Source organism: Homo sapiens, chromosome 5, assembly GCF_000001405.40.
Source record: "Homo sapiens chromosome 5, GRCh38.p14 Primary Assembly".
Classification (NCBI taxonomy): Eukaryota; Metazoa; Chordata; class Mammalia; order Primates; family Hominidae; genus Homo; species Homo sapiens.
This window is the reverse complement of record NC_000005.10, coordinates 140,854,570-140,878,903: the sequence shown is the minus strand read 5'-3', so window position 1 is coordinate 140,878,903 and position 24,334 is coordinate 140,854,570. Positions and strand designations below refer to the sequence as shown.

Genomic DNA, 24,334 nt, shown 5'->3' with positions numbered 1-24,334 from the left:
GGAGCCTGCCTGTAGTCTCAGCTACTTGAAAGGCTGAAATGGAGGATCAGTTGAACCCAGAAGTTCTAGTCCAGCCTGTGCAACATAGCAAGACCCCCATATGTTTTTAAAAAGTGATTGAACATATACTATATTCCAGATCCTAAACTAAAGATATGTAAGAAAGTAGATATAAGGCTGGAAATTTTAATGCCTTTACTACCAGGCTGGGGTATGTAAGACTTTATTCCCTGGTTAAAGAGAAGCCTCTGGATATTTTTGTAGAAATAGAAAGTTAAAATATGTAAAATGCACATTAGAAGATTCACTTGGTAATAGGCACAGGGCAGTGGTATACTATGATAAGTTTGGGATCATCTGAAACTGGTTTGAGCCACAGTTGGTTACCAACTGTACTGTATCGTACAGATGGTTAAATATTTTTAAATTGAGAAATGATTTTATTATATTTCATGTAAATAAGAATAGTACAGTATCTATTCCTACTTGAAATAAAGAAGATATTTTGTGAGCAATGAAGAAAATCATTCATCATATGTCAGACATATCATTTATATTATTGTGATAATACCTGGAATATAATGTGAAAATGTCTAGATTGTACTGAAATTAGAATAGTGATCAAGAAGGCTATTTTAAAAGCCTAAGCACGTGAGGAAGAGTTAAAGAATCCATTAATGGGATCTAGGAACTCTTTGTACCATTCTTGCAACTTACCTGTAATCTTGAAATTATGAACAAATTAAATTTTTAAGTTATCAAACATCTGGCCACTTTTTAATCTAATATACTGTTTTTTTCAAGGTTCATCAGTCATATAAAATATTATAGAAAAAGAAAAATATTAAGTGTGGTGCTCCATGGCCTCCATTGTACCTACATATTTCCTTCATTAATGTTAGACAAATACATAAAAGTTCAAAATGAGTAAGAATGACCAAGAAAGATGAGACATTCGATAGTTTAAAGGATAGAATCATAAAGAAAAATGAGAGAATGTAGTTATAACCTAAACGGAAGTTCTTCAAGGAAACAAATATATCTAAATAATATTAATAACTTACTTCACTGGGAGGATTTAAACAATCTTCTCGAGACAGCTGAAGGCTTGGGCTGAAGGCCATGAGGTCCGTCTTGGGCGGGCTCTCTGCAGAGCACACCCTCTGCCTCCTCTGCTGCGAGTAAGACCAACTCCCCACGGCGCTGGAGCACACCAGCGTGGGCTTGCCCGGCGCGCACCGGCTCACGGTGGGCGGCGCTGAGCAACGCAGCGCAGTGTACAGCAGCAGCGTGAGCACCAGCAGGCTGGACACCGCACAGATGGCGATGATGAGGTACACGTTAATATCCACCAGAGCCGCTTCGGGATCCACAGCGCCCACTGAGGCCCGCGACGACGTCTTTGGGGCCTGGCCGTTCTCCACCAGCGACACCAGCACCGTGGCCGTGGACGTCAGCGCGGGCTCACCGTGGTCCTTCACCAGCACCAGCAGGCGGTGGCGCGGAGCGTCCGCCTCATCCAGGATGCGTGTCGTGCTGATCTCGCCAGTGTACAGCCCCACGTGGAACGGGATGTGCGCGCCGACCGCCGCCGGTTGCAACTCGTAGGACAGCCAAGCGTTATAGCCGGAGTCAGCGTCCACCGCGCGCACTTTCGCCACCACGTGGCCCGCACCCACCGACCGCGGTACCAACTCGCTAACTGCGCCTCCTGCGCTGCCAGCCGGAGTCGCCAGCAGTGCCGGCGCGTTGTCGTTCTCGTCCAGCACGAACACCTGCAGCGTCACGTTGCTGCCCAGAGGCGGCACGCCGGCGTCGCGCGCGCTCACCTGGAACTGCAGCAGCTCCAGCTCCTCGTGGTCTAGCGGCTGCAGCGCGTACACCTTGCCGCTCTCCGCGTGCACCGACACGTAGCTCGACAGTGCGTGCTCGCCCACCCGCCGCTCCACCAGCGAGTAGGACACCAGCGCGTTCTTCTGCGCGTCCGCGTCCCATGCCGACACCGTGAAGATGTGGCAGCCCGGCGGGTTGTTCTCCTTCACGAACACTGTGTACTCGGGCTGCGCGAACGCAGGCGCATTGTCGTTCACGTCGGCCACCTCCACGGACACTCTAGCCGTGGCCCACAGCGAAGGCGAGCCCCCATCCCGCGCAGTCACCACCAGCTCATAGGCCGACACGCTCTCGCGGTCCAGGGCGCTGTCCAGCACCAACGAGTAGTAATTCTTGTAGGTGGACACCAGCTTGAAGGGAACATGAGGTGTCAGTGAGCAGATGACCTGTCCATTGGCTCCAGAGTCACGATCCGACACGCTAATCAGGGCAATGACGGTACCCACCTGAGCATCCTCTTGCACAGGGAGCGACAGTGAAGTAACCATTACTTCAGGGACATTGTCATTCACGTCCAGAACTTCCACCAGGACCATGCTGTGACCTGCCATGGAAGGAATCCCTTTATCAATGGCGTTAACCTGAATTTCATAGGCATTATTCTCTTCAAAATCCAGTTCACCATAAATTCTAATTTCACCTGTGTCTGGATTTATTGAAAACATACATTTCTCACTCACTGGCAAAATCATTTTGATCCCATAGGAAATTTCTCCATTAAGTCCTTCGTCTGGATCGGAAGCATTTAGTTGGATCACTCTTGTGTCGTTTTGGACATTTTCAGACAACACTACTTTATAGCTGGGCTTATCAAACGCCGGACCATTGTCATTCACATCCAGGACGGTTATTTGAATCTGGACAGACCCTGTTAGTTCTGGTTTACCGCCATCGATTACCATCAGCAATAAATTGAGTTTTGGCGTTTGCTCTCTGTCCAATAACTTCCGAAGAACTAATTCAGGCAATATACTTTTATCTTTTTTTGTTTTTATTTTAAGCTCAAAATTCTCATTTAGACTTAACGCATAGGTCAAAAGAGAGTTTACGCCGATATCCGCATCAGAAGCGCCCTCTAGAGGAAAATGAGAGTCCAGAGGCGCAGATTCAGAAACAGGTACCTTTTGTTCCCTTTCTCTGAACACCGGCGGGTTGTCGTTAATGTCCTTCACCTCCACGTCCACATGGAAAACCTGCAGCGGCCTGTCCACGATCACCTCCAGGTGGATACTGCACTCCGCGCTCCGCCCGCACAGCTTCTCGCGGTCGATCCGAGAATTCACAAACAAAATGCCATTCTGCAGATTTACCTCCAGAAGGTCCCCGTGTCTTTTGGACGCCACCCGGAACAGGCGCGGCACCAGCTCCGCCAGCTCCAGCCCCAGGTCCTGAGCGATGCGGCCCACGAAGGTGCCGTGTTTGGCCTCCTCGTAGACGGAGTAGTGGAGCTGGCCGCTCCCCACCTCCCAGGCTGCAAGGAGCAGAAGCGAGAGCAGCAGACGCTGGGATCCCGGGCCTCTTGGTCCGATAATCACCATTGCAGAAAATGAGGGCCTCTGAGTTGGGACAATCAGTTTTAAGGGATCGCTTGCCTGAGGTATTTTATGAGCAGTCACCCTTTTCTGTAAGTACATATTTAGTAAATTTTTTCCAGCATCACAGTCATTATGGAGTCGATCCTATTCCGTGAATGATTGGAATGTGGGTGCGGAGAAAAAAATTTTCCTGTTTCACCTTCTGAGTGTAGAGCGACATCATGTGACTGATTATGTAAGTACAAGAAAGATCCTGAGGTTCTTTTCGGTTTAGCCACTTCCTGGGTCACTCTTAATTCTAATGTTTCGACTTTGGGTTATTTTTCACGGATCATTTATAAATGCGGGTTTAGTTAATATACATGATATTAGTAACAAAACATCAACAATTTTATTACGCTGTAGCTTAAAAATGTTTTCTGCTTCAAAGTAGAAATCTTTCAAATACAGTAGGCCAGAACCTACACTTTATCATGGAAAATGATATACAGAATAATATACAGCACCCCTCCCCTTATATAGCTTACAATTCCGCTGTTTCAATAACTTTTAACCTTCACAAGCACTCCATCGTAAGATTTTAGAGAAAGTTAGGAATTTGTATTTAACAAAGGATAAGAAACTAAAATATGTCTAATACCAAACAATATTTCATTTATATAAATTGTCTTATTCATAAATCTGATGAAAGTTAGAATTCATCATAAATATGGAGAGCGTTATTGTTTGGTTCCTTGATGCTTGAATGTGATAACTTTTCACATAACTGCTCTCATTTCCATAACATGTTAAAACAAATCTCAGGAATAGATTCTGGAAAGTTTTACTCTAGCAAAAGTAAAGCACTTTAATGTAAAATGTTTAGTTGAAGCCTCCAAATTTCACACTATCCCAAAGCAACAATGGAGCACTAAAATGCGAAAGATCTCTTAAAGGGTTTTGGAGCCTAATCTCATTGACTAAAGTCAAGAGAATGTGAACTTGATATCAACCTTTTGCTTTTTCTCTAAATCTTCCCCTACAGGTCATTTAGTAGTTAGGACATGCTTCTCTTCAGAAAATCAGAATGGTGACTGTTATGCAAGGGGGCATCAAAAGACCTTTCATGAGTTTATTCATTAATTCAAGATCAGCTTTAAGAGAAAAAAACAGATAAGATCCTACAACTCATTGTGAACAAGTACACATAGATTTTGTAAGTCTATTAATACTCAAGTCAAAATCTTTAAACCAATAATTTGTTGCCATTCATTCCTACTGCATATAATAATAAAGGCAACTGAAATATGACACCTTTACAACACCAGGAAAGAGTAACCAAGAATGGCTCTACAAGTATAAGATAACTTAAATAAACTATAAAACGTTAAGTAATTAAAAACATATTTGAATTTTGATGTCATCAGGCTAATTATTTAAATTGTCTAATATCATCACCAAGTTTCTTTCCTATTTTTCATTTTCAAAAGTGGTCAATGTACCATACATGCTAAGGAACTTTAATTTTAAAAAATAGGCTGGGCTCAGTGACTTACACCTGTAATCCCAGCACTTTGGGAGGCTGAGGCAGGCAGATCACCTGAGGTCAGGAGTTCAAGACCAGCCTGGCCAACATGGTGAAAACCCATCTCTACTAAAAATACAAAAATTAGCCAGGAGTGGTGGTGCATGCCTGTAGTCCCAGCTTCTCGGAAAGCTGAGGCAGGAGAATTGCTTGAACATGGGAGGTGGAGATTGCAGTGAGCTGAGATTGCGCCACTGCACACCAGCCTGGGTGATAGAGCAAGACTCTATCTCAAAAAGAAACAAATAATAATAGTGTGTTATGTAGTTCTCACATACTCTTTGACCTAAACAAATTGTTAAGCCAATAGGAACATCTAAGTTTAGCTTAATACTTAAACAACCAAACTAGAAAATAAATTGAAATTATAATTTTATACCATAGAATGCAATCTTGGCATTAAGTATAAAAGACACAACTTTGCAGAAATCAGTCCAAGTAATTTGAATTATCTAAAATGCAAATTTGTTATTTATGTGATATAAAATAATAATTTACAAAATTTTAACCTGTACTGAAAACATTCCCAAGTCTTTAAAAGATCTTCAGTTATTCCAAAAATTTCATCTGGAGATGAGTAATGTATGCCCTATCTAATATTCACCTTTATTATATTTATAAAGTTTCATAAGTGGTATGATGGTTTAATCACTTTTGAGTCTGAAATATTTTATATTTTTATATTGTTGCCTTCTCTTTAATACTTAAAGAATGTTTTTAGCCAATGAATATTATGATACAAAAGCTCTCGATCTAAAGTCTATGAATAGGCTTCAGCATAGACTCTTTGAATATTGTGCCAAATGGTATGTTATGCCTCTATACGGGGGGGAAATAGCTAGATATGATTCTCAAGAAAGTCTGTAATACCACCACTCTACGTGTAGTAAGAATAACTAAATATGAAGAATGACTCAGAAGTAAATGATCTTTGCTCAAATCTTCAGATGGGATGATACTACGTGGAAAGAAAATTTCAAAAACATTAGAGATAAGGCATTACAAGATAGAGCAGTTACAAAGTGAGATGAATGAAACTGATAATTGTCAGTAGGTACTCACATTAATATATTTAATTTTTTCTCTGCTAGATGAATCTGAAAAACTTATGGAAGAATGCCAACTAGCATATATTATAGATAATATAGCCCTATATGCATGTCTTTAGCAAGTTTAGATAATTTGAATAATTTTATTTACCTAGTTTCCTTTGGAATCATAAATCATGCCATTTTGTTTGAGTATCCAATAGTTGACAAATCTCTTGCCTTTTCATGGAACAAAATCAAGAACAGGCAAAAAAAATTATTTTTTCAGATGGGGGTCTCACGATGATAGGTCACTGCAGCCCTGAACCCCTGGGTTCAGGGGATCCTCTCATGTCAGCCTCCCAAGAAACTGGGACTACAGGCATGCACCACTAGGTCTGGCTAATTTTTTAATTTTTTATAGAGACAGGATCTCGCTATGTTGTCCAGGCAGGCCTCGAACTCTTGGGCTCAAGCAATTCTCCTGCCTCAGCCTCCCAAATAGCTGGGATTACAGGCCTGAACCACTTTGCCTGGCAAGAACATGTAGAATTTTAGTCATATTATTTCCATAAAGCAGCATATAAGAATGCAAGGCTTAACTTTTTTCTTCAAACAATATGAAAACAAGTATTATCACAGGAATAAAGACAAAAGTAAAGATTGTTTCATATATAATGAATTTATGATGAACGTTTAACACTGTAAAAAAAAAAAAGAAAAGTAAATCATGTCATACTAATGGAGTATTCTAGCTTTGATACAAGCCTGAAGTTAGGAAAGCCAATGGACTAAGTGCAGTGGCACTGCATTCCCAGCTACTCTGGAGGCTGAAGTGGGAGAATTCTTTGAGCTTAGCAGTTCCAGGCTACAGGTCACCTGTAAATAGCCACTGCAGTCCAACCTGGACATCATAGGAAGACCTCCTCCCTTTAGAAAAACAAAGCCAGTTGATCTAACAATGTGGAAATATCAAGGCAAAACTCTGCTAAAAGACAAAGAGGAGCAAATTTAAATAATCCATAGTTATTATGGTCATAATTGAAGTTTAGAGATGAAGGGGCATGGGTACTTTAGTGAAAATAGTAATTATTTCTACTCAAGTGACTACAGAAGAGTCACTCTTGCATCTCATTTCTTTTAGGATTTGCTAACCAAATATTAAGAGAAATAGGACATTTATTGGTTAAAGAAGCCAGATTATTCATATGATTAAAAGACTGAAGATGTGTATCATTTGGTATTTTATGAACAGACATTGTTATCTAAAACAATATTCAAAACACTGGTTATTCATAAAACTTTCCCTTAAAAAATCCGTGAAAAAAAACTGGATTTTAAATAATTTCACATACACTTCCTGATAGGTGGAATCTGTAGAAAACTCACCTGTCCGGGGTGATTTGACCCTGGCTCCTGTCTTTCCCCTTCCTCCTCTTTATTCAGACCTAGAGGAAGACTGGGGCTGAAGGCCATGAGGTCCGTCTTAGGTGGGCCCTCCTCAGAGCACACCCTCTGCCGCCTCTGCTGCGAGTATGACCAGCTCCCCACCGCGCGGGAGCACACCAGCGTGGGCTTCCCCGGCGCGCACGCGCCCTCAGTGGGCGTTGCCGACCACCACAGCGCCGTATACAGCAGCAGCGTGAGTACCAGGAGGCTGGACACCACGCAGATGGCGATGATCAGGTACACGTTGACATCCACCAGCGCAGCCTCTGGGCTCGCGGCGCCCGCCAAAGTCCGGGAAGAGGCCTTTGGCGCCTGTCCGCTCTCCACCAACGACACCAGCACGGTGGCCGTGGCCGTCAGCGCCGGCTCACCGTGATCCTTCACCAGTACTAGAAGTCGGTGGCGCGGCGAGTCTGCCTCGTCCAGGGCACGCGTTGTGCTTATCTCGCCCGTGTACAGCCCCACGCGGAACGGGATGCGCGAGCCGCCCGCCGCCGGCTGCAATTCATATGAAAGCCACGCGTTGTAGCCTGAGTCCGCATCCACTGCGCGCACCTTCGCCACCACGTGGCCCGCACCCACCGACCGCGGTACTAGCTTGTTAACTGCGCCTCCCGCGCTGCCAGCCTGAGTCGCCAGCAGTGCCGGCGCGTTGTCGTTCTCGTCCAGCACGAACACCTGCAGCGTCACGTTGCTGCTCAGAGGCGGCACGCCCGCATCGCGCGCGCTCACCTGGAACTGTAGCAGCTCCAGCTCCTCGTGGTCCAACGGCTGCAGCGCGTACACCTTGCCGCTCTCCGCGTGCACCGACACGTAGCTCGACAGCGCGCGGTCGCCCAACCGCCGCTCCACCAGCGAGTAGGACACCAGCGCGTTCTCCTGCGCGTCCGCGTCCCGCGCCGACACTGTGAAGATGTGGCAGCCTGGTGGGTTGTTCTCCTTCACGAACACGGTGTACTCGGGCTGTGCGAACGCAGGCGCATTGTCGTTCACGTCGGCCACCTCCACGGATACCCTGGCCGTGGCCCACAGAGAAGGCGAACCCCCATCCCGCGCAGTCACCACCAGTTCATAGGCCCACACGTTCTCGCGGTCCAGGGCGCTGTCCAGCACCAACGAGTAGTAATTCTTGAAGGTGGACACCAGCTTGAAGGGAACGTGGGGCGTCAGCGAGCAGGTCACCTGTCCGTTGACACCTGAGTCACGGTCAGACACGCTGATCAGGGCAATGACCGTGCTGGGCTGAGCGTCCTCTCGTACTGGGAGGGACAAGGAAGTCACGGCGACTTCAGGAGAGTTATCGTTGGTGTCCAAGATTTCCACCCAGACTGTACAGTGACCTGCCATTGGGGGAGTCCCCTTATCTGTAGCCTGTACTTCAATTTTATAAAACTTGTTTTCTTCATAATCTAAAGTTCCATTGACCCTCACTTCTCCATTATTTTGATCTAGTGTAAATAAGTGTCTTCCATTGGGCTTAATTGACATTAAGGAGTATGTTACCTCTCCATTGACTCCTTCGTCTCGGTCTGTGGCGTTTAGTTTGAGCACAAGAGTTTCTTTAGCAGCATTTTCCATAAGGCTCACCTTATATTCTGATTTATCAAACTCTGGATCATTGTCGTTGACATCCAAGACTTGGACTAACAGCCGAACGGTGCCAGTAAGCTCTGGTTTTCCCCCGTCTGTAGCTGTTAGCAGCAAATTAAGTTCCGGAGTTTTCTCTCTATCCAGAGACTTCTTTAAAATAAGTGACAGTCTTTTAATCTGCTTACCATTTGTTGGTGAATCTAAAGAAAAATACTCATTTTTACTTAGCCTGTAGGTCAATAGAGCATTCTCTTCAATGTCAGCATCAGAAGCTCCCTCTAGTGGAAAACGCGAGTCCGATTGCTTAGATTCCGCAATCAGCAGCTTTTGTTCTCTGAGCGAGAACACCGGCGGGTTGTCGTTAATGTCCTTCACCTCCACGTTCACATGGAAAACCTGCAGCGGCCTGTCCACGATCACCTCCAGGTGGATGCTGCACTCCGCGCTCTGCCCGCACAGCTCCTCGCGGTCGATCCGAGAATTCACAAACAAAATGCCATTCTGCAGATTTACCTCCAGAAGGTCCCCATGTGTTTTGGACGCCACCCGGAACAGGCGCTGCACCAGCTCCGCCAGCTCCAGCCCCAGGTCCTGCGCGATGCGGCCCACGAAGGTGCCGTGTTTGGCCTCCTCCGAGACGGAGTAGTGGAGCTGGCCGCTCCCCACCTCCCAGAATTCGAGGAGGAGAAGCCAGAGCTGTAGTCGTGGGGTGCCCAATCCCCTTCTCTGAAAACCAAACATCGCATACGAAATTGGCTTCCAAAATAAGCTTCTTTACACTTACAGTACCAGATTCTTCAGTTTCAGGTTAAAAATCTCGTTGAATTCTTAAGAAGTTTCAAAGGATCCTTAAACGGTGGCATCCGGTATGATGGAGTTCCTTTGTATGGGAGTGCCTCACTGTTCAGACCAACCTTTAAATGAACTTTCCACCAAGTAAAGAGCGACACCTTGCGCCTAAAACTGTGAGTACTGTGCACTGCATTTACCACCACAGAATTTCACGTGTTTTGGGTTTCTTCCCCCAAATATTTCCAACGTGCTTATTTATGGAATATTCAGATTATAAGTCATATTGAAACTAAATATATATGGAAATGGCATTGTATTTCTCGATTAACATCAAATTTAAATTATTGTGTCTATGTTTGACTTAACATTATAACATTGTTCTTTTACTTATCTAAAATACTTATACACAGAGTGAGAGAGAAAGAGAATTCAGTTGTTAAGGTGGCCTCATGAAAAACTAGGGTTAAACATTTCCTGAAAGTGTTGTTCCTCATATAAAAATACTATCAAATTTGAATTGTTTTACTTTCAGTCTCCCTTGTTACTTTGGCTGCTAGGGAACTCAAAGAAAAAATTGAAGTTTTATAAAAGCAGCTCTTTAGTGTTTATGTTCCACATGATCTATTCTCATCTCTGTGGGCTTGCATTTTCATATCTATTTTCTATAGTTCTCATTCTTTACTGTTATTTACATTTAATTGCTTTCTGATTATAAGTGACTTTATATTCATTGCAGAACAATATGAAAAACAAATATATTCATATTCTCAAACTTGGTAGTTTTAAAAAAGAATCCACAAAGGAAAAGTCTATTGATCTAGATGAGTTTTTATTTGACATATATTATTTCTAATGTAAGCCATAGTAGCATAATATGAGATATCAAAATTTAGCACTTTATGTAACAGAATCAATGATATGACAGAAATAGGCTTTTCAACTATAAAATAAATTTTATTATCATTTTATAAAATAAATAAAATCACCCTGAACATCTTTGTGCCATATTGGTATTTCCAAGTCACCAACATTGGTTTCCTTAATCTAATTCAGTTATATTCATGAAAATAGTTTGTTTCTTGTTGAAAGAATTTTGGGTTTGGGAGCAGAAGTTCATGGAAAACAAGGGAAGTGATTTTTAATTATACCTTCTGTAAGTACCTGATATTGTGCTTAAAACATAGAAAATTAATCAAACAATTCAACTAAATGGTAAATTACCTTAGTGCTTGTGGAAATGGAATTTCATAGAAAATGCTAAGTAAAATACAGGAATTGCTTATGAGAGTTTTCTTTGCCTGAAGTTGTAACTTGCTTGAATTTTCTTTGTCTTTTCATATACCCTTAGGATTTAGGAGGAAAAAAAGAAGATGCAACAAAATTTTAGAGTAGAAAGTGATTTAGAATAAATATCACTCTAGCTTAAATATTTTGTTCTATAGTTTTGATGGTTTATCTCCAATCTAAAAATACTGCAAGGGCATATGAAAAAGTTATCATATGTGTATGCTAATATTTTATATATATATTCAACTATTAATTTGAGATTTTGTTCTACTTTTTTCATATTTACTCTTTTCCCAATGTTGTCATAACACTAGAACTCTAATTCAGGTAAATGCAAAATTCTGTATTAAAAAATTAAAGGAGACATATCAACTTTTATAACCGTTAATTCCATTACGCATCTGTAAAATAATCAATCATAGTAGCCTCTAATCAAAACATAACATTAGACCAGATGACAGTATATTCAACATGATATTTGAAGCACATCAGGTTTATTTTGAACAAAAGGAAACAACAGATCCTCAATCACCTTATTATGGGAATTGGGGATGAAGATGTTACATGGAATGTGGAGTCTTGCGAGGTAGGGAAATGAACCTTAGAAGGTTTACTCTGGAAAAATGATAATATCACATATTTGAATTAAAACAATATGTTAATTTAGGTGTTAATTTCCAACAATACAGTATTTTGTGAATATATAAAGTAGTACTGAACAAACGCCAAGTCATAAAAGAGTTTGATATAGTGTATGAATCAATGACCCATCTTTTGCATTTTGGCTGTGATATTTCAGATGTCACCATCTCAACCAGCCCCTAGTGAAGAGATTATGCGCCCTTTGAACTCATCTTTGAGGATCAGCCTAATATCTGGGTATAGGCTAATACCAAGAAGTCATTTCAATACAGTTATTGTTAACTGATTTTGTAAAATCAATTGAAGATTAAGGAACTTTGTGCCTGACTTTTACTATATCAGTCAGGACATACAATCTGCCTGTATGTCCTGTTAGTCATATAAGTATTAGAGTGCATAGTTTAATGTCTTACTAGTGCACGTCATCCACTGATATTCTAACAGACCTAGTGCTATTATTTCTTGAAAACACATAAATAAATTTTGACACCGTTGTCAGAACCCCAGGAGGTTCTCCAAAACCAACAGATTAGAATTACATTATCCAACCACTGTATTAACAAAATTATAGGATTTATTCCGTGATGCTAATTCTGCTCTATCATGGCTTAGTCAAGTAAAAACAGTTATTTGGTCACAAATCATTTGTCAGTTGTTATGAGCTTCCCAGCCAACAATAAGACTGAAGAAGACTGAAAGACCTACACACATTTGAAGATTTTCATGGGAATCTATGTCTTTAAAATTGTTATTGAAGTATGCAATATTGTAAACATTTCTTGAATCCTTTGGCCAAGTTCAGGGTCCCTGAAATAATAATATCAACATCTATACTTGTCCCAAACACTGTCTTTATTCACAGTAAAGAAAGAAGGGTGTCATTTTTGGTATATAGTATTTAGTTTAGGTGTTCCACAAGGATATTGGAAACCACAGTTTTCTGACTTTTCTTACATGTTAAACGATTCTTACTTATATCACTTCCAAACAACAGATACGTAGTTCTTATAAGGCAACTCTTAATTACTTAACAATTACATAACCAAAATACCTATCTCAGTGTGGCATTGATTAAAACAAATGATAATGATGATCACGAACTCTTACAAGAAAAAAATCACTTAACATAAAAAAACTTAGTGCCATCTCAATCACACATTGTACAAAATTAATGATGAAGACAATCATGAAGTTTCTTCTAAGCACAACAGAAAGAAAGATTTGCCTGTACACAATTTGTGCTTGATTTTCCTAGCCGAGACCATGTTTGAGCAGAGAAATGACTTACTAAAGAAAGCTCTACATTATAGTGGATAAAAGAATGAGTCTGAAGCCTGAAAGATACACATTTGAATAATATCTCCACCATGTACTGGCACTGGATAAAATAGATACACATCTCAGCTTCTCTTATTTTATCTTTCAAATTGGAACAGTCATATGTACTTTAGAAATTGTTATAAGTATTAAATGAAATAATGTATTTAAGTCCCTTCATGATGTCTAACAAATATATTAATAAACTGCTCAAACAATGGTGATTTATTATCATGAGTTACTGATCAATATTGGCTCTTGTCCTATAGCTATGGATGAAGAGAATTCCAGCACCATAAAGTAGGACAGGGTTTTCCCTTTTCTGAAGATTTCCTTAATGTTTATCTTCATAGAAATCATCTTCTCAGAAGTTATTTTTCTAGGTAGACACTACTAATTCCTTTTCAGCATTTATATTAACTTTACCCTACCTATAACATGGTTATCCTGCAATATGTAAATATACTATTTCTTTACACAGAATTAAAGGCCATCTCATTTGTAATTAGAGCCAAAAAGAGCAAAGTAATTTTACATATAATTTGATACACATCCTTACAGCTATAAATACGTGTTCTCTGGGATCCCTTTAAAGAAAGCAATTCACATTAATATGGTGTGAAGGCAAAAAATATTTTGCATCAAATATATCAAAAGTATACAATGTTAAATTCTAAGGTATAATTAACACCACAATTGTCAAGTGGAAGTGCCTTTATTAATATCCCATGGTTCTTATACTTAAGTTATTAAAAACAATGACATTTTTTGGTAGAGATGGGGGTCTCACTATGTTGCCGAGGCTGGTCTCAAACTCCTGGTCTCAAGCGATCCTCCTCCCTCGGCTTCCCAAAATGCTGGGATTACAGGCCTGAGACACCCTGCCAAGCTCAGCAATGCCATTCTGAAGACCATGCAGCTTAATGAACACAGACAATGGTATCACCCTTCATCATGTATGGGAAGACTCTCTTATACTTAAAGCCCAAATAAGTGTGAATTTTCCTACCCTAAAATATTTTCATACAGCCAGGTACCAAAAATGAAAGAAAAATGAGTATAATCGGTGCTCAAAGAAATCTTCCCAAAATAGTAGAAGAGCTCAACAACTTAAACTGGAGGACAGCAGCAATTAAGTCAACAGGTAATTAAGTAGAGCTGACATTGTTTTGTTTTGTTTTCTTTTTAAAAAAGAACAAAGTTGTTGGCTATCTGAAGTAGTTGAAGATTGTGAAGACAATGACCTAAAATGAAATTATAAGAAGATTGAAGACAAAAATTAAGAAGTAAAATCACCTTTAAAGGCAAGGCTAAAATTCCACCCACTGCAATCAACATCTCAAAAAAGATGGATATTGATCATGAAGAAACAAAATTGTTTGTGGACGAAGCTGCCTCAACCCTGCTCATCACCATTTGTGAGAGATAAACTTATCGATTATAGAAAGATAAACATTTAAACATGTTTTAAACTCAAATAATTATGATATTAAATATTGTCATGGTATTTTTGAATACATAAAAACAATAAGGAATGGAGGACACAAATCAGAATAAGAAAATGAATAGGAATAAAGAACTTGCTTCAAAATTGAGAAGATTTGACCTTCTCATAAGGATCATTATTCATCATGATCCTTCCGGTAAGATTTAACTTTCTCATTTACAGGAAACAGCCACTCAGTCTAATTCATTATTACTATTATCATTATACTTATCAACTGAAGAATATTCCTAAAGAATGTTCATGGTGACTGTAGTAAAAAGTGATTAAGATGGCTAGACTTCCAATGTACTTTTTTTTTTAAGACAGAGTTTCACCCTGTCTCCCAGGCTGTAGTGCAGTGGCCTAATCTAGGCTCACCGCAACCTCTGCCTCCTAGGTTCAAGCAATTCTTGTGCCTCAGCCTCCTGAGTAGCTGGGATTACAGGTGCGCACCACCACACCCAGCTAATTTTTTTATATCTTTAGTAGAGATGGAGTTTCACCATGTTGGCCAGGCTGGTCTCAAACTCCTGGCCTCGAGTGATCCGCCCGCCTCGGCTTCCCAAAGTGCCGGGATTACAAATAGGCATGAGCTACCGCACCCGGCCCCAGTGTACTTTAAATAAAGCATCTCAAAAGAAAAAGCAAAAGCAAAATAAATAAAGCAATCAAATTAATAACTTGGTGAACATTATCAATGTCACTATGAGGGACATTAATAGGAATGAAATACTTTCCAGGATTACAGTACTTATATTCTCAAAAATTTCCTATTGAAGTCCATCTCCAAAATCTGAACCATGGGAGAACACTAGGACTAAAAGCCGTAATGTTGACCTTGGGAGGCGACTCTCCAGAGTAAAATCTCCTTTGCTGCGAGTAAGACCAGATCCCACTACGCTGCGGTACACCAGCGTGGGCTTGCCCGGCATGCACGAGCTCTCGGTGAGCTGCGCCAAGCACCGCAGCGTCGTGTACAGCAGCAACGTGAGCACTAACAGGCTGGACACCACGCAGATGGCGATGATCAGGTACACGTTGACATCCACCAGCGCTGCCTCCCGGACCTCGACGCCCGCCAAAGCCCGCGATGGGACCTTCCTCGCTTGGCTGCTCTCCGCCAGCGACGCCACCACGGTGACGGTGGCAGTCAGCGCCAGCTCGCAGTGGTCCTTCACCAGCACCAGCAGGCGGTGGCGCGTAGCTTTCGCCTCGTCCAGGGTACTCGTCGTGCTGATCTCGCCCGTGCAGAGCCCCACGTGGAACGGGTGCTGCCAGCTGACAGATGCAGCTGTTGCGACAACCAGGCGTCATAGCTGGAGTCCACCGTGCGCACCTTCGCCACCAAGTGGCCTGCATCCACTGAATACCGCACCAGCTCACTCACAGCGCCGCCAGCCCACCCAAGGCGCCAGCAGCGCAGACAAAGTTGTCGTTCCAGCACTAATACCTGGCAGCGTCACATTGCTGCTCAGAGGCGGCATGCCCGCGTCGCGCGCTCTCACCTAGAACTGCAGCAGCTCCAGCTCCTCGTAGTCCAGTGGCTGCAACGCGTACCTCTTGCCGCTCTCCGCGTGCACCCACACATAGCTAGACAGCGCGCACTCGCCCACCCGCTGTTCCATCAACGAGTAGGACACCAGCACGTTCTCCTGCGCGTCCCGGTCCCGCGCGGACACTGTGAAGTCGTGGCAGCCCCGCGGGTTGTTACCTTTCACGAACACCATGTACTCGGGCTGCTGGAACGCCAGGGCATTGTGGTTCACTGTTCGGCCACTTCCACGGACCCGATGGCTGTGGCCAACAATGAAAGCGAGTCCCCATTCCGAGCGATTACCAACAATGGATAGATTTGCTCTCTTGGTCCAGGGCGCTGTGGAGTACCAACGAATAGTTTCTGGGCAGCGCCTTTTGAAGGTAGACACCAGCTTGAAGAGACGTGAGGAGTCAGGGTGCGGGTCGTCTGTCCCTTGGCACTGAAGTTAGGGTCAATTACACTGATTAGGGCTATGACGGTACCCAGTGGAGCGTCCTCCTGTACAGGGAATGATAGTGACTTACTGCTAACTCTGGAACACTATCATTGATGTCCAAGACTTCTATCAAGTCTGTGCAGTGATCAAACATTGGGGAATTGCCTGTGTCAACTGCCTGTATTTGAATCTTTCATTATTTAGTTTCCTCAAAACCTATCTTTACATTTATTTATCCACTGTCTGAATCTATGCGAAAAAGGGCTTCTATGTTAGGGGAGACATCAGTTGCAAAGAAACAATGTGACGGTTTGAACCCTCGTCAAAATCCAAGGGGTTAAGTCTAATAACCAGTGTACCTTCTCTTGCATTTTCCAGTAATTTCACATGATAGACTCCTTTGTCAAACACTGGGCATCATCATTTACATCCAGCGCTGTGATATATAATGCTTTGGTGCCTGTCAGCTCAGCTTCGCCCCCATCAGTTGCTTTGAGCACCAAGAGTAGCTCTGAAGTGACTTACCTATCTGAAAGAATTTTTAAAATACACCTTCAAGTGGTTTTACCTGCTCTTGGTATTTCCAGGGAAAAATAATCATTGCGGCACAGTATGTAAGTCATCAGAGCATTGGCCCCGACGTCGGCATCACAGACACCCTCTAGTGAAACACGATAATCAAGAGCTCTCGTTTCAGAAACAGATTCTTTTGTGTTGCTGAGAACACTGGCAGGTTGTCTTTATTGTTCTTCACTTTCACCTCCACATGGAAAACCTGTAGCAGCTTGTCCACGATCACTTCCAGGTGGATGCTGCACTCCGAGATCCTCCCACACAGCTCCTCGAGGTCTATCAGAGAACTCACAAAAATGCCATTCTGCAGATTTACCTCCAGAAGGTTTCTGCGGCTTTTGGAATCCAACTGAAACAGGCGCGGTATCAGCTCCACAAGCTCCAGACCCAGGTCCTGCGCAATAGGGACCGCGAAGACGCTATGTGCCGTCCTTGGCCTCTTCCAGGATGGTGTAGTGGAACTGGTCCTTTCCCGCTTCACAAAATTCAAGGAGCAGAAGCCAGTGCTGTAGGCTCCGGGATTCCTGGCCACTTTGTCTAGCAGCTAAAATTATGCCTCTCTTTTGGTTAGTAAAACAATATTTCATGACTAGAAAGACTTAGTTCCTCTGAGACCTTTTGGTCCTTGTTCCTGAGGTTCCAAGTGGTCTTAATGGGTGTTTGTAGTTTTTAAAGTACAGGAACAATGGAGCTTCTTTCTGATCTAGGAATAATCTGATTTTCTTCTGTTAAAAAAAATACCTTTCGGCCGGGTGCGGTGGCACTCGGCCAGCACTTTGGGAAGCCGAGGCCGGTGGATCACGAGGTCAGGAGATCTAGACCATCCTGGCTAACACGGTGAAACCTCGTCTCTACTAAAAATACAAAAAATTAGCCTGGCGTGTTGGCGGGCACCTGTAGTCCCAGCTACTCCGGAGGCTGAGGCAGGAGAATAGCGTGAACCTGGGAGGCGGAGCTTGCAGTGAGCCGAGATCGTGCCACTGCACTCCAGCCTGGGCAACAGAGCGAGACTCCGTCTCAAAAAAATAAAAAATAAAAAACAAAAAAACCAAAAAAACTTTTCATGGAGAACAACAATATCCTGTCGCTCAAAACATAAGTGCATTTGATTTCATATTATTTCACTTATCTTCTTCGTTCCTGATTCCTGCATATGTTTATGTTTCTCTTTGTGAGCTTCCAACTCCTTTCCTATACCTTCTTGTGTATGATCAGTACCTCTTCAAAGGTGGGTTTGTCTTACAAATCAGAATTCCATGAAGAGTTTTATCTTGTATGTAGACATCCTAAATAAAGTACTACTGCACCAACTGTATTATCACGTGAATTAATATGAAAAAGATCATATTTGCAGGATAATGGTGTTACTATTGCTTTTGCTTTTTTCAATTTTTGAAATAGGGTCTCACTTTGTCATCCAGGCTGGAGTGCAGTGGCACAATCATGGGTCACTGCAGCCTCAACTTCCCAGGCTCAAGCCGTCCTCCCACCTCACCCTCCCAAGTAGCACTACAGTAGGGACTAAAGGCATGTACCACCATGCCTGGCTTATATATACATAAGTACATATATAGATATATATGTAAGGAGAGCCCATCATATATATATACATATATATATACACATATATACATATATATACACACACACACAGTACAAGATATCCCTATGTCGCCCAGGTTGGTCTTGAACTCCTGGCCTCAAACCATCCTCCCACCTTGGCCTCTCAAAATGCTGGGATTACAGGTGTGAGCCACCATGCCTGGCCTTAAGTTAGTATTGATGGAGAGATTAATGCACTTGTATACCTGAGACTTTTACAATTGATATGAGTTTTTACTAAGTTTTTTATATTACTTATAATATAAGACATTAAGGAAGATTTTTTTTCAAAATATCAGAGGGGGAAGTATATATTTCATAAACCTATTTGATAAAATAACAAATACACTTCTAAACTCTGCATTAACTTAGCATCTATAATTTCTAAGAGCTGGAGACAGGGCATGGAGAGTATTAACACTGAAAGAATGCCATGCTTAAATTCTTGCCACAATTTTTTTTTGGTGTTCCTAAACTTGAACAATAATTTTAATTTTATTTGAAGCTATTTGTGAAGCACGTACTGAGTAACAAATTCAATCTCCATACTCAAAGAGAAAGGAAAGAAAAAAGTAATTGCTAAGAGCCATAGGCAAGATGACAAATTCATGGCATTGGTGTTTGGTAACACTAGAATTAATAAATTTTTTTTAAAAATGAAATCATGGGTATCAGGTAACAACCAATTTCAGGAAAACACAATTGATAGTGTAGTTTTGTCACTCTGCAACTAAGTTAGCTTTCATTTCTGAGTCTATATCATCTAACCCAACCCTGTTTAAGATGACTAGAGAAGCTATTAAACTATACAATATATCAGATCAGTAGAAAACATTAATTTTATTTTCTCCTCAAACTTTTAATATTAATTCATACTAAAGTATTTTCAGTCTCAAAAGTAAAAAGTGTTCAAATTCTCTTCATTATTAAACATAAGCATGACTCCTTCCTTAAAGTGAAAGAGCTAATACCTGAATATCATAAGCAATGCCTAATGCTGATAAAGGAGCAGATAATGAAGAGCTACTGGATAAAATTATGTAAATAAAAGAAACATACATTTTCTTCTGCTAAGTGAATAATACACACTGACACAGGTACCACTACAACTAAAATAAAAATGGAAAACGTTTTTAAAGTTCAAAGCATTTAACTTAATTGCTAAGATTAAGAAATTTTTACCAATGAACTGCCCACCTACTTACTGCACTATTGAGAAAAAGCTGTAATCACTGAACATTGAAATCTACTATGGCAGTATAAGCTGTGGTACGCTACACATATTCTACACATGGAGGAAAACACATTTTCACTGAAGAGATATAGATCAGTGGAATTTTTTGGTAATGCAAATACAATCAAATCAAAATTTAGATTGGAAATGAAATAACATGAAGTACTAATCTCACAAATATTTGTAACGAAAAGTGATTATGAAAGTAAATCGTCAGAACTGCAACCTATATCACATATTTGTATTGGAAAATATTAGTGTATTCAGAATAAATTGTTATTTAAAAAAATTTAAGTACCAATCAAAGGCTGACACACTGGGTAGGATAAAAAAATTTTAAAACTCCTGGAATAAATTATATTACAAAGGTATCACTAGAAATATTCAAGCATAAATGGAATGTAGACAAAAATGAAATATTCTGATACATATTTGAGAAAATGCGGTAAGAGAAAATATTATTCATAAAGCACAAAAGGAAAATGAAAACGTAATAACCCACCTTCCTAGAGTGGTCCCCTCCAATAGACTGATCTTCCCCGTCCACATCTACCATTGGGCATGGTGGAAGGCTGGGGCTGAAGGCCATGAGGTCCGCCTTGGGCAGGCCCTCCCCAGAACACACCCTCTGCCGCCTCTGCTGCGAGTAAGACCAGCTCCCCACCGCGCTAGAGCACACCAGCGTGGGCTTCACCGGCCCACATGCGCCCTCGGTGGGCGCCGCCGAGCACCTCAGTGCAGTGTACAGCAGCAGCGTGAGCACCAGCAAGCTGGACACCGCGCAGATGGCGATGATCAGGTACACGTTGACATCCACCAGGGCCACCTCGGGCGCCACGCCCACTGAAGCCCGCGACGAGGCCTTGGGTGCCTGGCTGCCCTCCACAAGCGACACAAGCACAGTGGCCGTGGCCGTCAGCGACGGCTCGCCATGGTCCTTCACCAGCACCAGTAGGCGCTGGCGTGGCGAGTCAGTCTCATCCAGAGCGCGCGTCGTACTGATCTCGCCCGTGTACAGCCCCACGCGAAACGGGATGCGTGCACCAACCGCCGCCGACTGCAATTCATACGACAGCCACGCGTTGTATCCAGAGTCAGCGTCCACTGCGCGCACCTTAGCCACCACGTGACCCGCAACCACCGACCGCAGCACCAGCTCACTGACTGCACCGCCCGCGCTGCCAGCGGGAGACGCCAGCAGCGCGGGAGCGTTGTCGTTCTCGTCCAGCACGAACACCTGCAGCGTCAAGTTGCTGCCCAGAGGCGGCACGCCCCCATCGCGCGCGCTCACCTGGAACTGTAGCAGCTCCAGCTCCTCGTGGTCCAGCGGCTGCAGCGCGTACACCTTGCCGCTCTCCGCGTGCACCGACACGTAGCTCGACAGCGAGCGCTCGCCCAACCGCCGCTCCACCAGAGAGTAGGACACCAGGGCGTTCTCCTGCGCGTCCGCGTCCCACGCAGACACCGTGAAGATGTGGCAGCCTGGCGGGTTGTTCTCCTTCACGAACACCGTGTACTCGGACTGCGCGAACGCAGGCGCGTTGTCGTTCACGTCGGCCACCTCCACAGACACGCTGGCCGTGGCCCACAGCGGAGGCGAGCCCCCGTCCCGCGCGGTCACCACCAGCTCATAGGCCGACACCCTCTCGCGGTCCAGAGCGCTGTCCAGCACCAATGAGTAGTAATTCTTGTAGGTGGACACCAGCTTGAACGGAACGTGAGGCGTCAGAGAGCAGGTGACCTGTCCGTTGGCTCCTGAATCATGGTCAGAAACGCTGATTAGGGCAATGACGGTGCCCACTTGAGCATCTTCTTTCACTGGGAGAGACAGAGAAGTGACAATCACCTCAGGTGAATTATCATTTTCATCCAGTAGTTCCACTAGGACCGTGCAGTGACCAACCATAGGTGGGTTTCCCTTATCTGTAACATCTACATGAATTTCATAAGTGTTACTGTCCTCAAAGTCAATAGCATCATTTACTTTTATTTCTCCCGTCCTTTCGTTTATCCAAAATTTCCTTCTTATCGTGGGTGGGACCAAAGAGCTAAATGAATACATCATTTCCTTGTTTATTCCTTCATCCGAATCAGAAGCGTTGAGCCGTATTACTAATGTTTGGTTCACTTGATTTTCATACATCTTAACTTCATAAACCGGTCTGTCAAAGATAGGGGCGTTATCATTGGCATCTAACACCAGGATCAGCAGAGAAACAGATCCGGTAAATTCAGGTTTGCCTCCATCAGTTGCTGTCAACAACAACTTTAGCTGAGGATTTTCTTCACGATCCAGCAGCTTCCGCAGAACAAGCACTGGGAATTTGTCTTTGTCTTTTTTGTTTATAATATCAAGAACAAAATACTCATTTGGACTGAGTTTGTAAGTAAGCAATGCGTTCTCTCCAACATCCGCATCAGATGCGCCTTCTAGTGGAAATCGAGAGTCAAGCAGTCTGGATTCAGGTATTGAGAGCTTTTGTTCTGTTACGGAGAACCTGGGCGGGTTGTCGTTAATGTCCTTCACTTCCACGTCCACATGGAAAACCTGCAGCGGCCTGTCCACGATCACCTCCAGGTGGATGCTGCACTCCACGCTCCGCCCGCACAGCTCCTCGCGGTCAATCCGAGAATTCACAAACAAAATGCCATTCTGCAGATTTACCTCCAGAAGGTCCCCGTGTCTTTTGGACGCCACCCGGAACAGGCGCTGCACCAGCTCCGCCAGCTCCAGCCCCAGGTCCTGCGCGATGCGGCCCACGAAGGTGCCGTGTCTGGCCTCCTCGTAGACTGAGTAGTGGAGCTGGCCGCTCCCCACCTCCCAGGCTGCGAGGAGAAGAAGCGAGAGCAGCAGACACTGGACCCCCAGGCAGCTACATCTGGAAACCATCTTATCCTTCTCTTGTTTTACAAATCGACGAATCAGCGGTCTAGAACGCACATACGATCTGACATTTTCTGTCCTATTTCTTATATCTATTTTTTATCGAAATGGCTGAGATCTCAGAATGACGCTACTTCCTAGTCCTTGAGAAACTGGCTGATGCCTTTGTTCTAAAAAGCTATTTTGTGGACGACAGCGACATCCGGTGGCTTTAGGTGTAAGTACGATTCCATGAGTTCACAACTTTTCTTTCATTCATATGTTAATTCTTTTTTTACGTATTTTTATGTCTATGGACTTTCAAAGCCTCACATTACGTCTCTTTATAGTTAATAACAATAAATGTTGATCCCACGTGCAATGTTTTCTTAAATGTAGACTCTCAGAGTAGTGATTTCTTCCCTAACCACATGATTATCAATAGCCGAATTTCAAAATGCCCTTAATATTTGCATACTACTGAGTATACTAATATTTTATTAAATGACAACTTTAGTTCCATTTAAGTTCTGACACTTAACTTACTTCTCTTTCTCATTATTTTGAGATTTAATAAGGTTTATTTAGACACTAATGTCAAGCATCAACTATCTGTGAGGTGTTTATAACTCCGAAGATCTAGTCATCACTAGAATTTAGAGATCATTAGCTTCAACATCAGACATTTCTCCATTTAGATTCCTATTATCCTACTCACTAGCCACATGACTTGGGAAAATCGTTTAACCTCTCCCTCCCTCATGTTCCAATTTTATAACTTTGGCCTAATAGTAATACGGTGGTTGAGTGAATTATAATATAGTAAGTGCTTGCAATAGTACCTTAAGGAGAATGAGTGCTTCATAAATGGAAACTATTCTCAGGCCTCAATTTGGCCACATTTGTTTTCATGAGGCTCAATACCAAATTTGGCTCATCAGGCAAAATTATTACCTATAGAATGCCTTAATTATTGCTACTGCACAGGCTGAGAGTGGTGGTTTCTGTATTTAAGAAAACAGAAAAGTACTATTACAGAAAAATCCTTTATACAAGAAGTTTCATTTTATAATATCTTACACGGGCAAAAAGAATCTTAATTATAATTCTGAATAAAGTAATTAAGAAATTTATTATTTCTGCTTTCAGAGGCAAATGCTTTCAACCCTGTTATATTTACGCTTTTCAAATGCCCAAAAGACACAGTTCTGAAATATATCTAGTAATTTTATCAATGTCAGTGAAGTTTTTCATCACCACTTGCAGTAAAAATATTTTTTTCTCTCTCAAAGTTCTTGAAATCAAATATTCAGGAATGAAAATGTAATATATCTGTGCTGCTGAAAAAAACTTGAGTTTTCTGTCTTTCCAAGAAAGGAAAACTTAACAACAGACATATTGGTCTTATGCAAGGGTTAATTTATTTTATTTAATGATGTTTTGACTTTTCTAAAGAATATTTTTAAATGTGTCAATTACTTTAAACTTTTTTTATTAAAATCTGAA

At 42.4% G+C, this 24,334-nt stretch overlaps 12 protein-coding genes, 1 long non-coding RNA gene, 1 pseudogene and 1 further gene across 19 annotated transcripts in view, besides 2 other annotated features; 1 reads left to right on the top strand and 14 right to left on the bottom strand.

The window, feature by feature from the left end:
• The window catches only part of PCDHA12 (protocadherin alpha 12), a 137,040-nt gene extending 133,444 nt beyond the window's left edge, over positions 1–3,596 (bottom strand). Inside the window, exon 1 of one of the 2 annotated variants that reach the window (NM_018903.4) lies at positions 1,065–3,596. In NM_018903.4, coding sequence (NP_061726.1) covers positions 1,065–3,431 — 2,367 coding nt within the window. In that variant the 5' untranslated portion in view covers positions 3,432–3,596. Of the gene's footprint in view, positions 1–1,014 lie in introns of those variants that run through there. The other variant, NM_031864.3, reaches the window with a different exon arrangement.
• Positions 1–9,947, bottom strand: part of PCDHA11 (protocadherin alpha 11) — a 143,391-nt gene extending 133,444 nt beyond the window's left edge. Inside the window, exon 1 of one of the 2 annotated variants that reach the window (NM_018902.5) lies at positions 7,410–9,947. In NM_018902.5, coding sequence (NP_061725.1) covers positions 7,410–9,800 — 2,391 coding nt within the window. In that variant the 5' untranslated portion in view covers positions 9,801–9,947. Of the gene's footprint in view, positions 1–7,303 lie in introns of those variants that run through there. The other variant, NM_031861.3, reaches the window with a different exon arrangement.
• PCDHA10 (protocadherin alpha 10) overlaps positions 1–23,007 on the bottom strand; it is a 156,451-nt gene extending 133,444 nt beyond the window's left edge. Inside the window, exon 1 of one of the 3 annotated variants that reach the window (NM_018901.4) lies at positions 20,468–23,007. In NM_018901.4, the coding sequence (NP_061724.1) occupies positions 20,468–22,855 (2,388 nt within the window). In that variant the 5' untranslated portion in view covers positions 22,856–23,007. Of the gene's footprint in view, positions 1–10,663 lie in introns of those variants that run through there. The other 2 variants (NM_031860.3, NM_031859.3) reach the window with 2 other exon arrangements.
• PCDHA@ (protocadherin alpha cluster, complex locus) overlaps positions 1–24,334 on the bottom strand; it is a 226,209-nt gene that overhangs the window by 133,441 nt on the left and 68,434 nt on the right.
• The window catches only part of PCDHA1 (protocadherin alpha 1), a 226,208-nt gene that overhangs the window by 133,444 nt on the left and 68,430 nt on the right, over positions 1–24,334 (bottom strand). The window lies entirely within an intron of this gene.
• The window catches only part of PCDHA2 (protocadherin alpha 2), a 217,496-nt gene that overhangs the window by 133,444 nt on the left and 59,718 nt on the right, over positions 1–24,334 (bottom strand). The window lies entirely within an intron of this gene.
• PCDHA3 (protocadherin alpha 3) overlaps positions 1–24,334 on the bottom strand; it is a 211,291-nt gene that overhangs the window by 133,444 nt on the left and 53,513 nt on the right. The gene's annotated exons all lie outside the window — the stretch shown is intronic.
• Positions 1–24,334, bottom strand: part of PCDHA4 (protocadherin alpha 4) — a 205,280-nt gene that overhangs the window by 133,444 nt on the left and 47,502 nt on the right. The window lies entirely within an intron of this gene.
• PCDHA5 (protocadherin alpha 5) overlaps positions 1–24,334 on the bottom strand; it is a 190,735-nt gene that overhangs the window by 133,444 nt on the left and 32,957 nt on the right. The gene's annotated exons all lie outside the window — the stretch shown is intronic.
• PCDHA6 (protocadherin alpha 6) overlaps positions 1–24,334 on the bottom strand; it is a 184,388-nt gene that overhangs the window by 133,444 nt on the left and 26,610 nt on the right. The window lies entirely within an intron of this gene.
• The window catches only part of PCDHA7 (protocadherin alpha 7), a 178,079-nt gene that overhangs the window by 133,444 nt on the left and 20,301 nt on the right, over positions 1–24,334 (bottom strand). The window lies entirely within an intron of this gene.
• The window catches only part of PCDHA8 (protocadherin alpha 8), a 171,161-nt gene that overhangs the window by 133,444 nt on the left and 13,383 nt on the right, over positions 1–24,334 (bottom strand). The window lies entirely within an intron of this gene.
• PCDHA9 (protocadherin alpha 9) overlaps positions 1–24,334 on the bottom strand; it is a 163,966-nt gene that overhangs the window by 133,444 nt on the left and 6,188 nt on the right. The gene's annotated exons all lie outside the window — the stretch shown is intronic.
• LOC112267934 (uncharacterized) lies at positions 3,013–10,847 on the top strand. Its single transcript, NR_164126.1, has 2 exons — positions 3,013–3,663; positions 7,467–10,847. It is a non-coding gene; the product is annotated as an uncharacterized LOC112267934 (long non-coding RNA).
• Positions 7,485–8,158: an enhancer, noted in NCBI's record as "H3K27ac-H3K4me1 hESC enhancer chr5:140250331-140251004 (GRCh37/hg19 assembly coordinates)". NCBI's record gives its function as "activates a minimal SCP1, AML or CMV promoter by ChIP-STARR-seq in primed H9 embryonic stem cells {active_cell/tissue: H9 hESC(primed)}" and the evidence as "EXISTENCE:reporter gene assay evidence [ECO:0000049][PMID:30033119]".
• Positions 8,159–8,834: an enhancer, noted in NCBI's record as "H3K27ac-H3K4me1 hESC enhancer chr5:140249655-140250330 (GRCh37/hg19 assembly coordinates)". NCBI's record gives its function as "activates a minimal SCP1, AML or CMV promoter by ChIP-STARR-seq in primed H9 embryonic stem cells {active_cell/tissue: H9 hESC(primed)}" and the evidence as "EXISTENCE:reporter gene assay evidence [ECO:0000049][PMID:30033119]".
• On the bottom strand, positions 15,354–17,716 carry PCDHA14 (protocadherin alpha 14 (pseudogene); annotated as a pseudogene).